This window comes from Homo sapiens, chromosome 7 (genome assembly GCF_000001405.40).
Source record: "Homo sapiens chromosome 7, GRCh38.p14 Primary Assembly".
Lineage (NCBI taxonomy): Eukaryota > Metazoa > Chordata > Mammalia > Primates > Hominidae > Homo > Homo sapiens.
The window spans coordinates 45885799-45900031 of NC_000007.14; the positions used below are offsets into that span (position 1 = coordinate 45885799).

The following is a 14233-nucleotide window of genomic DNA, read 5'->3' on the forward strand; positions in this document are numbered from 1 at the left end:
CTCTTTCATGTGTTTCATTAAGAAAACATTTCAGCTGTGGGCACTGATTGCAAGCTGAGGAAGTCAGAGAGAAAATACAGAGCACACATTCTTCTTCTGGAAATCAAATTGCTTAGGCATCTACCCTAAAAATAATGTCAAAAAATTCAAAACCGTTGGTCAGTTCCTTTACCAAACACCAAACTCTGCTCTGTAAAGAAATAATGACAAACAATCATAAACTTCCAACTGCAGTGACCTCACTGCCTTATTTTGATTTTTGCAGGAGACGCTGGGGCCATTACTCTTTGGAGACTTTAGAGGTAGAACAAAAGCCAGCTTGGCAAATCCAAGTCACTTCCCGAAGGCCACAGAAACAGGAAAGTGGTGAGAAAAGGAGGTCGTCAGTTAATTTCAACTTGGTTATTTTTTTATTTTTATTTTTTGAGTCAGAGTCTCGCTCTTGTCTCCCAGGCTGGAGTGCAATGGCATGATCTTGGCTCACTGCAACCTCTGCCTCCTGGGTTCAAGCGATTCTCCTGCCTCAGCCTCCTGAGTAGCTGGGATTGCAGGTGACTGACACCATGCCTGGATAATTTTTGTATTTTTAGTAGAGATGGGGTTTTGCCATGTTGGTCAGTCTGGTCTCGAATTCCTGATCTCTGGTGATCCGCCCACCTTGGCCTCCCAAAGTGTTGGGATTACAGGCATGAGCCACTGAGCCTGGCCCCTTGGTTATTCTTTAGATTGATAATGTAACAGACAGTGTAAATACATCTACAAATTCAGAAGGTTAAGAAAGGGTATGCAAGGAAAACCGGTCTGTCCCTCAGTCACATTTTTCACCACCACCCACAAGAAGGCATTGCTATCAATTTATGTATTCCTCCCAAAACATTCAATAAATGTAGAATCAGTTGCATACATTCATCTTGCTTTTATTGTACACAAACAGTACCACACTCTGTACTTTCTCATTTGTACTTAGCTAGGAGATTTTACTTCAGTTGAATCACTTTACTTTTAGAGATTTTTCTCTATAAGAAAATCAGAGTTGCTCTTTCTTGTTGATAGCTGTCTATCTTCCAGTGGAAGGATGCCCCAGGATTTATGTATCCAGCACCTAGAGATGGGCATTTAGGTTACTTGCAGTATGGCTTCCAGATAGGGATTGGTTCGCGTATTTTTTCACATAAGTTTAAAATGATCTCTCACGTCTGTCTCATCATCTGTAGGATAAACAGCTGAGGGTGGCATTGTTAGCACAGACCATTCTACCTCCAGCTTCAGAATTTCAGGGTAGTTATTATTTTCACCTGCCCTTACACCTTCCCTGAAGGGAGCAGCAGGGATCATTTCCTTGAATGTAAGAATGACTGTCACTTGAGGTGATTCAGCAATGCTCTACTGTTTTAGAGTGTTTTAGCCAGATTACAGAGAAAGGCATTTACTTAGGGCTTGCTTACAGTAAACAGGACTGTATGGGCATCAGAAATGTGAATTCTTGTTCAGGATCCACCGTTATAGCCTCTGTGACTTTGACCTGGCAATAGCCTTCCTTCTCTGGCCTCAGTGTTCTCCTCTATAAAGCAAGGGGCTGGACAAGCCATCTCCAGTTTCCCAGTTTGGCAACACCACTCCTAAAGGATCTGAAGGGACAACAGGAGGCCCAGGCCTGGAGGTAGGGTAGCCCTGAGCCTGTGCCTAGAATGGGAGGCAAAGATGGTGGCAGGTGGGTGGGAAAATGTGGGGTTTGGGGGTCACAGGAGAGACCAAGGGGCAGGCCTGGAGCATGGCACGCTCCCTGATCACAGCTCTCCACTGGAAGGCCATGGAGGGAGTGATGGGGAGAGCCTGCAACTCCTGGAGATAAGCCTGATTCTGACTTTCTTTGAAGGATTTTTTTCTTTCGACTTCTTTCCTGTGAAAGAGAATATCCGAGAAATGAGAATTTTAACTAAAGAGAAAACCTTTGCATTTGCTACTGATAAATATCTGGCCTATGCGGGAAAGTCATGGGTGCCCTGGGATTCTGGCTCCACTGCTAACAAGACCTTGTTAGACCTTCTTAACTGCCCCTCCAGAGAGGAGAAAGGCTCTTGGAGGTAGAGTGAGATTGGGGAGCTTGGCAGAGCCCTAGGATGAACTGTGTTTTTGTTTTGTTTTGTTGCAGGTTGGAGCCTTTTTCCTGCAGAAAGAGAAGCAATTCCGGGCTTTTCCACAGATAACCTGCTAGGGCTCGCAGAGACCTGGATTCTAACCCCATCTCGCCTTTCCTCACCTGGGGCATTGTTTTCTGCGTTTGAGAACTGCTGGGTGGGCTGGTGTTACCCAGGATTTTTAAATTTTTGCAGGAGACGCTTTGCAGGAGATCTCTAGGGCTTTTTTCTGTGTCAATTAAAGAGCCTGGCCAGCTGGACCTGGGCTGTCTTTTTGACAAAAACAAACGTCATCCCCCTCCCAGCTGAGCACTTGTTAGAACTGGACTTTAACTGAGGGCCTGAACCCCCTAACAACGGGACAAACAGTATGAAATCAAAACCGTTTACCCTCCTCCCACCAGCGGTTTGCGTAGGGCCTTGGGTGCACTAGCAAAACAAACTTATTTTGAACACTCAGCTCCTAGCGTGCGGCGCTGCCAATCATTAACCTCCTGGTGCAAGTGGCGCGGCCTGTGCCCTTTATAAGGTGCGCGCTGTGTCCAGCGAGCATCGGCCACCGCCATCCCATCCAGCGAGCATCTGCCGCCGCGCCGCCGCCACCCTCCCAGAGAGCACTGGCCACCGCTCCACCATCACTTGCCCAGAGTTTGGGCCACCGCCCGCCGCCACCAGCCCAGAGAGCATCGGCCCCTGTCTGCTGCTCGCGCCTGGAGATGTCAGAGGTCCCCGTTGCTCGCGTCTGGCTGGTACTGCTCCTGCTGACTGTCCAGGTCGGCGTGACAGCCGGCGCTCCGTGGCAGTGCGCGCCCTGCTCCGCCGAGAAGCTCGCGCTCTGCCCGCCGGTGTCCGCCTCGTGCTCGGAGGTCACCCGGTCCGCCGGCTGCGGCTGTTGCCCGATGTGCGCCCTGCCTCTGGGCGCCGCGTGCGGCGTGGCGACTGCACGCTGCGCCCGGGGACTCAGTTGCCGCGCGCTGCCGGGGGAGCAGCAACCTCTGCACGCCCTCACCCGCGGCCAAGGCGCCTGCGTGCAGGAGTCTGACGCCTCCGCTCCCCATGCTGCAGGTACCACAGTCCCGCCCCTGCTCCAGCACCTCCTGCCGCCCGCCCCCGCCCGGCACCTCCCGCCCCCACTCCCCTAACTACTGGGTGGGGCTGCAGCCGGGCAGGGGCTTGTCCACAACTAGAGCTTGAAACCAGAGCACGTAGTTGGGGAAGGAGCTTGGGTCACCCAGTGGAGCCCGCTCATTGCACGGTCTTGGCAGGACGTGCTCTGGGAGAAGAAGGAAGATGTTCCAGGGCACACATAGCTTAGTGGAGACTCAAGGAGGAAGCTCCCACTTGGCCCTCGTAGCCCAGAGATCTTTAGAGACCCAGACAGCAAGAGTAGAGGGAGGCGGTGGGGCTGCCTCCGCAGTTGGGATGCCACCCTGGGTCCCCCACCAGTCTCCTTGCCAGCACGTGGGCAGCCCCAGTGGCTGGAGCATCCGGGAAGGCCTAAGAAGGGAATCCCTCCTGCTGGCCTCCCCAGGAGGTGTTTGGAATGTCCTTTGTAATATACGTCCTGGATACAGTATGTGCTTCCCAGATGTTTACAGAACATAATGTGAGAGTTGAGGCTAAAAGCTTCACTTCCATTCATTGCCATAGAAAAACAATGTTTGATGTGTATGTTGCCCCCTAAGAACATGACAATCAGGTTCTTTCCTGGATTTAAGCAGGCATTTGTTTGTAGCGGGAAGTGGAGGAAATGCCTCTTTCTCTACTCCAGCCCCTATCTCCTCATCTGGACTGCTTGCACGTCCTGTCCTGTGCCATTCTTGGAGGAATTAGGACTTCCATACCCTGATAGGGTGTTAGAGTGAGTGTGTGAGAGTCAGTGACCCTTCCAAGGAGGGAACAGGGATTTCCTGCGGATTCTCTGCCCTTCAGAGGAAATGAAAGGGAGTCGTCTCACTGATCCTCAAGGAGATGGATTTCCACAGGGGGTCCCTTATAGGCCAGTGTGCTGATTCTGTTCATGTACCTTTGGACTCTATCTGCAAGATCCTCTTGCCATGGGGGTGGAGGGGGTGTTGCAGAGAAGTCCATTAGGACGTGGGAAGGCAGGGGCCCCAAAATAGAAGAGGGTAGTAGTTTGGGTCAGGAGAGCTGCATTCTAGACTCCACTTCTAGATGAACTGTACCATCCATTCAGGGATATTAGTAAAATCCCCATTTTAAGGATGGAGAAGCTGAGGTTTCGAGGCTCCCTACTAATGCGGTTAGGAACTGAACTCTAATCCTGGCTTCTTTAGGGTTGTTCTCAACCTCAGCAAATGCATTTGTTGCTCTGCTCCCCTGCTGCTTTAAAAGCAGAAACGTGGGGCACCCTTGCCAGGCCCTGAAACTTACTATTGTCAGGAACAGAGCTGGCATGCTGTTGGGACATAACTCTTCCTGGAAACCATTACAAGGTCCTTTACAGTGAGAGTCAGTGAAAATCAGGTTAGGGAATGTGGCCATCCTCATGGCCCAGCCTGGTTTTGAGGGAAGGAAGTGATCTCCTGGGGGCCCGAAAGGGGCAGATGCTTTGGGAGGGCTCATGGGGTCTGCAATGTTTCCTTTCCAGAGGCAGGGAGCCCTGAAAGCCCAGAGAGCACGGAGATAACTGAGGAGGAGCTCCTGGATAATTTCCATCTGATGGCCCCTTCTGAAGAGGATCATTCCATCCTTTGGGACGCCATCAGTACCTATGATGGCTCGAAGGCTCTCCATGTCACCAACATCAAAAAATGGAAGGTGAGGCCCAGCAGGTGGGTGGTGGGAACTCTCCTGTCAGAGGATGTAGCTTGAGTCGGCTGTGACAAGCAGACCTGGCCCACTCCTTCCTGGTCCTGATGCCCTGGAAAGAAATGCTTTTCCCCCAAAACCTAGTGGCCATTTCTCAGTTAAACTTTGTCAAACTGTGAACACATGGACTTTCAGGAGAGGAGCCCACTGGATGCAAAGAAAATGTAGTTCCGGACGATAGGTTACTTCATGTCTCTGAGCTCCTCTCTAAAGGGTGTGAGAACATTGAGTTACATTGTTCCAAAACTTAGTACAAGGGCCTAACTGCTTTCACCCCCATTGTATGATTTGCCTCCCTTTAAAAAAGTTGTCATAAAATAGACATAAAATGTACTGTTTTAACTATTTTGAAGCATAGGTTTCTGTGGCATTAAGTAACAATAAGTAATGCATGTTATTCTGCAACCACTACCAATATCTACCTTCAGAATTTTCATCTTCCCAAACTGAAGCTCGGAACTCATTAAACATCAACTCTCCATTATCTTAATTATGTCTGTTTTGAATTCTACCACTTGAGGGCGACAGAGAATCAAAGTCGGAGTGATTTGATTTGAGAAAATAAATTACTTCCACAAACATGCCTACCCAGAAAAAGGGAGGATTAAACCATTTTCTCAACATTTTGGAATTTCATCTGAGAATAACGATAAATGGAGGAAAGTTAATTCTTAAATTATCCAAATGAATGCCTTAATCCTCACTTGATTTAGTTTATGTAAAAGAACCTTGTAGATTGCAGAGGAAAGTTATTCAAAATCTAGAAATGTCTTCTGCTAAATTCTTAATTAAGAGTTATGCCCACTCTTCTAACCAGATGGCGGGTGCCAAAAGTATTCAGTAGGTGGCAGGAAGAGTTGGGAAGAGTTTTGTGGTGTTGGTGAGGCTCTTGCCAGGGGATGTCTCTGTGCAGGTGTTGAGAGAGTGATTGGTGAGGGAGAGAATGGTGTTCTTGTTCTTTATCTGAACAACTTAAGACAGACTAACTGCAGGTGGGAAAAAGAGGCCCAGAGGGAGCACATCACATGACACCTAGTCCCAGGTCCCCGTGGCCAGATCGTAGGGCCACTCCTGCTTCTACAAAACCTCTTCCATCAGTCATTGTCTAGGCTGATAATTCACTGTGTCTTGTTAGATATGCTAATGTCAAGTTATTCTCTTAGGAGCCCTGCCGAATAGAACTCTACAGAGTCGTAGAGAGTTTAGCCAAGGCACAGGAGACATCAGGAGAAGAAATTTCCAAATTTTACCTGCCAAACTGCAACAAGAATGGATTTTATCACAGCAGACAGGTAGGTGGCCTTGCCAGTGTGCGTCGTCAGGGTGAAAGGGACTACTGCCCTACATTCCTGCCAAGCCACGGTCATTCATGTCAAAGAAGGTCCACTCCAAAGTAGACACCAGAAGTGGTTGTATTGAGCCAGATCCACCCCTCTGGGAACCTGGAACAGCTAGGTGAAGAAAGCCTATTGAACAGGTCAATATGTCACCACCAGAGGTGGAAAACCTGCGCTGGACCAGGGGCCCTGGGGCTAAGCCTGAGCTCCATCACTCAGCAAGCCAATAGCTATGGAAGACTTTCCTAGGCCCCCTAACGCTTGGATCTTGGGTTCCTCACCTATACAAGAGAGGAAGGGAACAAACTTAACTTAGAAAAGCAAGTATCTATTTGGACAGCTCTTAACACTTTTTTCTCCTTGAACTGTCTAATAAAACACAACAACATTTTTGTGGCTTGCCAGATAATAAATGAGATCAAACAGACCAAGATTTCATATTGAGGAGTGCTTTAGGTCTCAGTGAAGTACAGGTTCTGTAGATTTTATTGGGAGAAACTGAGGACTAGGCCCTGCTTCACAGGCAATGAACAGTGGGGCACACACGAGACATGTTCCCTCTGGGTTGGGCTCCCCTGACATCAGGCTATGAAGCAGACAGCTGTGCACACACTGTACTGTTTAACACACATGGGAAGTCATTATTGCACATGCCACTCGGTCACTGTCTCTATTTTATGATGAGAACCAGGAGGGTGTGAGATTTGCCTGCATCATGGGCAGCTGGTTTCACAGCCGGGACTCTTGGCTTGGCTCTGCAGTGCTCGGCTGCACTGAAAAAAGGGCCAGCTATGGCTCTACTTTCCCTGTCAGCTTGTCATCTGCTGCTCTTGACCTTGGTCTTGTCTTTGCAGTGTGAGACATCCATGGATGGAGAGGCGGGACTCTGCTGGTGCGTCTACCCTTGGAATGGGAAGAGGATCCCTGGGTCTCCAGAGATCAGGGGAGACCCCAACTGCCAGATATATTTTAATGTACAAAACTGAAACCAGATGAAATAATGTTCTGTCACGTGAAATATTTAAGTATATAGTATATTTATACTCTAGAACATGCACATTTATATATATATGTATATGTATATATATATAGTAACTACTTTTTATACTCCATACATAACTTGATATAGAAAGCTGTTTATTTATTCACTGTAAGTTTATTTTTTCTACACAGTAAAAACTTGTACTATGTTAATAACTTGTCCTATGTCAATTTGTATATCATGAAACACTTCTCATCATATTGTATGTAAGTAATTGCATTTCTGCTCTTCCAAAGCTCCTGCGTCTGTTTTTAAAGAGCATGGAAAAATACTGCCTAGAAAATGCAAAATGAAATAAGAGAGAGTAGTTTTTCAGCTAGTTTGAAGGAGGACGGTTAACTTGTATATTCCACCATTCACATTTGATGTACATGTGTAGGGAAAGTTAAAAGTGTTGATTACATAATCAAAGCTACCTGTGGTGATGTTGCCACCTGTTAAAATGTACACTGGATATGTTGTTAAACACGTGTCTATAATGGAAACATTTACAATAAATATTCTGCATGGAAATACTGTTATCTCTGTGGATGTTTATTTAGTGATATTATCTTTTTGAAATCCCTTTGTCCTTCACCCTCACCTTCCTTATGCATTTTGTGCTTTTGTGATACCAAGATGGTGTTTTGGGTCTGCAGAGCCCCTTGTCCTAACTACCCTAGATCTTGCCCCGGCTGCCCCAGGGTTTCCACTTCCCAGTGGCATTGGGACCTTCCTCCTCTGCCTGGCCAGGCTGGGCATTCCTGTGTCCCACCTCTCCATTAGTCCCCATCCTCCCCAGGGTCCTCAGCCTCTTCCTCTTGGTTTGGTTTGTCCCTTCCGTTCAACTTATAAATAGGAACAGGGTTTCTTTCCTCTTAAACACAAGACAGAAGTGCTTCCTTGGTTTTGCTCCCTAGCCTTTCCCTTGCTTGCCCTCCCTTCCTGCTAGCCTCCTTCTTCCACAGGGCTCCCAGCATCCTTTTGTCACTTCTGTTTCCATGACTGAGCCCTGATTGCATCTCTCTTCTCTGCTCCTCAGAGCTCTTCTTCCTTAACACTGTGCCCTGCTTGGTGTGCCCAACGCTGCCCCTCCTAACTCTTGCTCACCCTGTTGACTGCTTCTTTCCTCCCCTCCACATCTTTCCTAGCACCTTGCCCATCCCAGGGGATTCCATCTCGGTCTGCTGGCTGCCTCCAGCCCTGTCTCTTGGACTCCCCCTGCTCTATGTCGGGGTGAAAGCCCACACTTCTCCTTGCCTCAGGCCACCTCTTGGAGGCTTGGCATCCATGGCTGCTTCTCTCATCTGTGGGGCTGGTGGCCTCCCTGACATTCTGGTTTTTCCTGGAGACTCTAGCTCCCTATCTTGGGTCCCCCCTTTAACCCTCCAACCCCATAGCTGCCAGGCTGCCATCCTCTCTGCCATGACCCTAGGGCTGGTGTGTAAACTCAGCACTCAGACTCATCAAGAGGAGCAGCCAGACCGATGTGGGACAGGGACAGACTGATAGCTGCAGCCCAGGGCCAGGAGGTGTGTTCATTTGCTCAAGCAATGAAACCACATCTGGCACAGCAGCTGCAATTGGAGTCACCACTCCATTAAGCTTATAATAATTCACTGTTATTGTCTAAGATCCAACTGTCTTCTGCACAGGCCAAATAGCAGAGTTCAGTGGGGATGTGGTGAGAATCACCACTCCTGCATCTTTCAAGTCCTTGATGGTGGCACTAATTTCTGCCATCTCTCTGGGATTGCAATATGGCTTCTGAACTGATCAATGACAGTTCAGAGCCAGTGCCCTGTAGTTCCTGAAAGGTCTGATTACTTCCTTTCCCTCAATCCACAATTGCCCCAGTGAAAGCCTCTAGGTCCCTTTGGAGAACACTGGTAGAAATATTTTCAACAGTGTACTGGGGCCCTTTCTCAAGGGGGCCCAGCCCCTCCTTCATTCAAGGGGTTCTGGGTCTGTAAACTGGCTTAAGTCTGAGAATTGATTGAGGTGCCAAGACTCTGTTTTTGTGATTCAAATTAGATTTTTGTTCACTTGTCCTTGAACTTTCCTGCTTATACAAGTCAATAACAATTTAGTAGGCTTCCTATCAGTTTCACTTCTAGGAATGTCATGATCAAGTAGCCAACGTCATAGATCCACAGGAGTCTGACTATTCTGAGTGCTGCCTTGGCTCTGCTGTCCATTAGAGTAGCTGTACCTACCTTGCCTTTGTTGGTTGAGTGCCTCCACTTGGTCCCTGCCACCCTTGGACTCTCATTATTTCCATTGCATTTATGTTTCCCAGTTCAGCAGCTGCAGTTCCCACTGTACGGTCTGGCCTACAGAGAAGAGCAATGCCAGAGCTCTTCTAGTATGCTGAGGCTCCCCTCATAAATGTATTCCTTATGGTCAAGGTGCAAGATAATGCCCTTTGGACCTGCCCATGGTGGGTAAGAAAGTCTTAAATGACAAATTCCCTCTAACATTCTAGTGTCCCTAAGCCTTTGAGTTCATTTCTACTGTAAATCAATGCAGATCTTGCAGTTCAAGATCTTTTGGTCTATGCTACCTTTTGGTCTATGTTTCAGCCAATTAACTAAATAAACTGTTGGAGCTGTTTCTAGCTTCTTGAATTGCAACCTTAAACACAGAATCTCTGCTTAGTAAGCCTATATCAATAAATTCAGTCTGATCCAACTTTTTGTTCCTTTCACTATTACCCCATACCTCTAATATCAATTCCCACACATGTTCCCTGGATTTCTATCTACATATATTAGAAAACTCAAGTAGTTCTTTCGGAATGTGGTGCGCCTCCTCATGGGTTACATATTGTACCTCACTTTTAGGGGTCTTATGGGACCTGGTCTAGAACCAAAGAAGAATGGTAGGGGTAAGTCCTGAGGAGAAGCAATATTGTCTTGCATGGCAACTGCCTCAGGGGAGGCCATTACAGTATCCTCGGGCAATAAAAAGTTAATCCCCTCAGATGGGGGTGGACAGCCTGCTTCTACTGGAAAAGAAAACTCAGCAGAAATTAGTGTCTCAATTCTCCACCTTCACCAGGGTCTTCCCATACATATCTATTCCAACTTTCAGGATCCCATTCTTTCCCTATCAATGCCCTCACTTTAACAGAAAGCACTGTTAAAGTGGAGGCTGGGAATTCAATTTTTGTTGTAAGTCAGTCACTCACAGGGTTTCATTTTTACCAATTCTAGTCTTGGAGCTACAGGAGACAAGGGACTTCTTCAGAGTAGATATCTAAGCTTTCAGGTCATTTATATAGGCTTGAGCTGGGAATTTGAATGCCTGAGCTCATCCTTTCCTTTCCCCACTTTATCCAGCTTAATTAGAAACAACCAGCTAATGTCATTATGCTTGTTAGTTAGACAAAAATGTTTGACGATACTATATACATAGTCACCCAGATCCTTGCCTCTTACAAGTATTTGAGAATATCCAGTGGTAATATTTTGCATATCTCTGCTGCAACATTATGCTGTGGACTATCAGTATTCTCTTTGTTACTGGAAATAGAGTTATTAGTGTCTTTAAATATAATCAAAACAGGTAGCCAATTCCAGAAATCCCAGAACCAATTCAGAAAACTGACCCTTAAGATTGAGTTCCTGCAAATACCATTATTTCATTCCTTTTTGTTGTTGAGCAGTATTTCATGCATACATATACCACATTTTCTTTATCTACTCATTGACTGAAGTGCTGTAAACTCAGCACTCAGACTCATCATTTGGGCTGGTTCCATATTTTTGCAATTGTGAATTGTGCTGCTATAACTTAGATGAAATTGGAGAACATTATTATAAGTGAAGTAACTCAGGAATGGAAAACCAAATATTGTATGTTCTCACTTATAAGTGGGAGCTAAGCTATGAGGACATAAAGGCATAAGAATGATATAATGGACTTTGGGAACTTAGGGGAAAGGGAAGGAGGGGAGCGAGGGATAAAAGACTACACATTGGGTACAGGGTACACTGCTCAGGTGATGGGTGCACCAAAATCTCAGAAATCACTACTAAAGAACTTATTCATGTAAACAAACACCATCTGTTCCCCAAAAATCTATTGAAATAATAAATAAATAAATAAGTAAATAAATAAATAAATAAATACTTTGAAATCTAAAAAAAAGATTGAGTTCCTTTAGAACCACTCCAGGTACTAAAATCTGTATTAGTCAGGATTTTCTGGAGAAACTGAACCAATGAGATGTGGATATAGAGAGATTTATTTTAAAGAATTGGCTCATGCAATTATGGAGCTGGGAAGTCCAAAATCTACAGGGTAAATCAGCAGGCTGGAGACCTAGCAGGCAGCCACTGCTGTGGTTAGAATGCAAAGGCAGTTTGCCAGCAGAATTCCTTCTTGCTTGGTCAGTCTTTTGTTCTATTTAGGACTCCAATTGATTGGATGATGCCCATCCCCATTATGGAGGGCTATCTGTCTTACTCAAAATCCACCAATCTGAATGTTACCCTCATCCAAGAACACCCTCACAGAAACATCCAGAATAATGTTTGACCCCATTTTTGTCATTGTGGTGCAACCAAGTTGACACATAAAATTAACTATCACAACCAGTTATAATTTCTACTAAATAAATACAATTGATATGTAAGAGAGGACAGAAAATTAAATTATGTGAAATGCTCAATTAAAACCATAGTAGAAAAAGAGGAGGAAAAATAAACAAATAATAATTCAATGAGTAGAAGACATTTACAAATGTGGCTGGCTTTAACAAAATATATCAGCACTCCCTTTAAACATACTAGATGTCCCAACGAAAATAAAGAGGTTGTCAGTATGCTTTAGAAAATGAAAAACAAAATCAACATATATATTGTTCATAAGATTCCTACTTAAAATATAATGACGCTATAGGTTAAGAGCAAAGAGATGGAGAAATATATATCACCCTAACTCTAATTACAACAGTAGAATTAGCTAGGTTAATTACAAAGAAAACTTCAGAACAAAGACAATTATCAGCATTAAAGAGGGGCATTACATAATGAAACAGATGTCAATTATCCAAAAGACACAATCGCCCTTAATGTGTGTGTGTCTAATGACAGAACATCAAAATATGTGAGGCTAAAACAAGTAGAACTGCAAGAAGAAATAGATAAATCTGCTACCATAGTTGGAGACTTCAACACCCTTCTATCAAAAATGGACAGATCTAGCAGGCAGAAAATCAGTAAGGGCATTGTTGAACTCAACAGCATCATCAATCGAGGATATAATGAACATCTTTGGATGACTTAATCCAACAACAGTAGAATACACATTCTTCTCGAGATTGTGTGGAATAGTCATCAAGATAGAGCACATCCTGGGCCATAAAACACATCTCAACACATTTAAAAAAATAGAAATAATACAATGTCTGCTCTCAGATCACAATGGAATTAAACTAGAAATCAGTAACAGAAAGATAGCTAGAAAATCACAAAATATTTGGAGATTAAACAATACATTTTTAACTAACACATGGGTTAAAAAAAGAAGTCTCAAGGGAAATTAAAAACTATTTTTAGCTAAATGAAAATTAAAATACAATTTATCAAAACCTGTGGGATGCAGCTGAAGTAGTGCTTACAGGGAAATTTATAGCATTAAATACAGATAGAAATTATTAAGAAAGGTCTAAAATAAATCATTTAAACCTCCACCTTAGGAAACTAGAGAATGAAGAGCAATTTAAGCCTAAGGCATGCATAAAGAATGAAATAAAGCAAACATCAATAAAATCCAAACTGGGAAAACAATATAGAAAATCAATGAAACCAAATATGGTTATTTGAAGACATTAATGAAATTGATAAACCAGTAGCTAGACTAACCAAGAAAAATAAAAGGCACATTTTACCTACATCAGAAATAAAAGAGAGGCCATCAGTTCTAGTAACATGAGCATTAGAAGGATAATAAAGAAACACTATGAAAACCTTACACCCACAAATTTGAAAACATAGATGTAATGGACTAATTCCTTGAGAACACAAACTACCAAAACTCACACAAGGAGAAATAAATAACTAAATAGAATGATACTTATTAAAAATTAAATCAATAATTAGCCTTCCAAAAATAAAGCATTAACCCCAGATTGTTTCACTGGTGAATTCTACCGAACATTTAAGGGAGAAATGACACCAACGCTCCACAATCTCTTTCTCAAAATAGATACAAATTAACACTTAACTCATTGTATGAGGTCAGTATTATCTTGATACGAAAACCAGATAGAGACATTAAAAGAAATGAAAACTACAGATCAATATCTCTCATCAACATAGATGCAAAAATTCTGAGAAAATGTTATCTAATCATATCCAACAATGTATAAAAAGAATACTATATCACCAAGATATAATGCTAAGATCCAGGTTATAGTAAGATTGCTGGTAGTTTTACATTGGTTCTGCAGTGGAAAAACAACAGGCTGAAAAACATTCAGATTTTAGCTTTGGTTGTGTAGGAGCATTAGGGCTGTGGTGGCATTTCCTCTTTCTTCTCTTTTCTTCCTTGTCTCCCTCTCTTCCTTCCTTCTATAAAAATTATCTTTTAGTTACAGTACTCTTATATGAGAAAAATACATTTACAGTAGAAATAGAAAAGAAAGAATTTCTCATAGACCATCATTACATAGATATCGAATATGTGTATTTATATATGATATTTAAAAATGTCATGACAAGAAGAAAGAAAAGCTTTAGAAAATAAAATTAATTTCATAAGTCTTGTTATATTGTACTTAAGAATACTGGACTAAATGTTTAAAAAATCATAATGACACTCAGAGACTCATGTTAACAATTTTCCTTAAGGCCCTTGGTTGAAAGCTTTAGACTTTATTGAGGCTACGTTGAAAACCA

At 43.8% G+C, this 14233-nt stretch overlaps 1 protein-coding gene across 1 annotated transcript, besides 1 other annotated feature; it reads left to right on the forward strand.

Annotated features, from left to right (window-relative positions):
• Positions 319-536: a silencer, noted in NCBI's record as "fragment chr7:45925716-45925933 (GRCh37/hg19 assembly coordinates)". NCBI's record gives its function as "represses an EF-1alpha promoter that drives an FKBP-Casp9 reporter gene in an ReSE screen in K562 erythroleukemia cells {active_cell/tissue: K562}" and the evidence as "EXISTENCE:reporter gene assay evidence [ECO:0000049][PMID:32094911]".
• Positions 2690-7862, forward strand: IGFBP1 (insulin like growth factor binding protein 1). Its single transcript, NM_000596.4, has 4 exons — positions 2690-3203; positions 4750-4919; positions 6134-6262; positions 7162-7862. The coding sequence occupies exons 1-4, from the start codon at positions 2855-2857 to the stop codon at positions 7291-7293; spliced, it is 780 nt and encodes a 259-aa protein (NP_000587.1). The 5' UTR covers positions 2690-2854; the 3' UTR covers positions 7294-7862.
• Positions 7863-14233: the final 6371 nt, after the last annotated feature.

Bases quoted from the DNA above. Each gene is read 5' to 3' on its own strand.
- IGFBP1 (NM_000596.4), top strand. From the start codon at position 2,855: ATGTCAGAGGTCCCCGTTGCTCGCGTCTGGCTGGTACTGCTCCTGCTG. The intron at 3,204-4,749 runs GTACCACAGTCC...TTTCCTTTCCAG, and splicing joins CTCCGCTCCCCATGCTGCAG to AGGCAGGGAGCCCTGAAAGC. The intron at 4,920-6,133 runs GTGAGGCCCAGC...TTATTCTCTTAG, and splicing joins CCAACATCAAAAAATGGAAG to GAGCCCTGCCGAATAGAACT.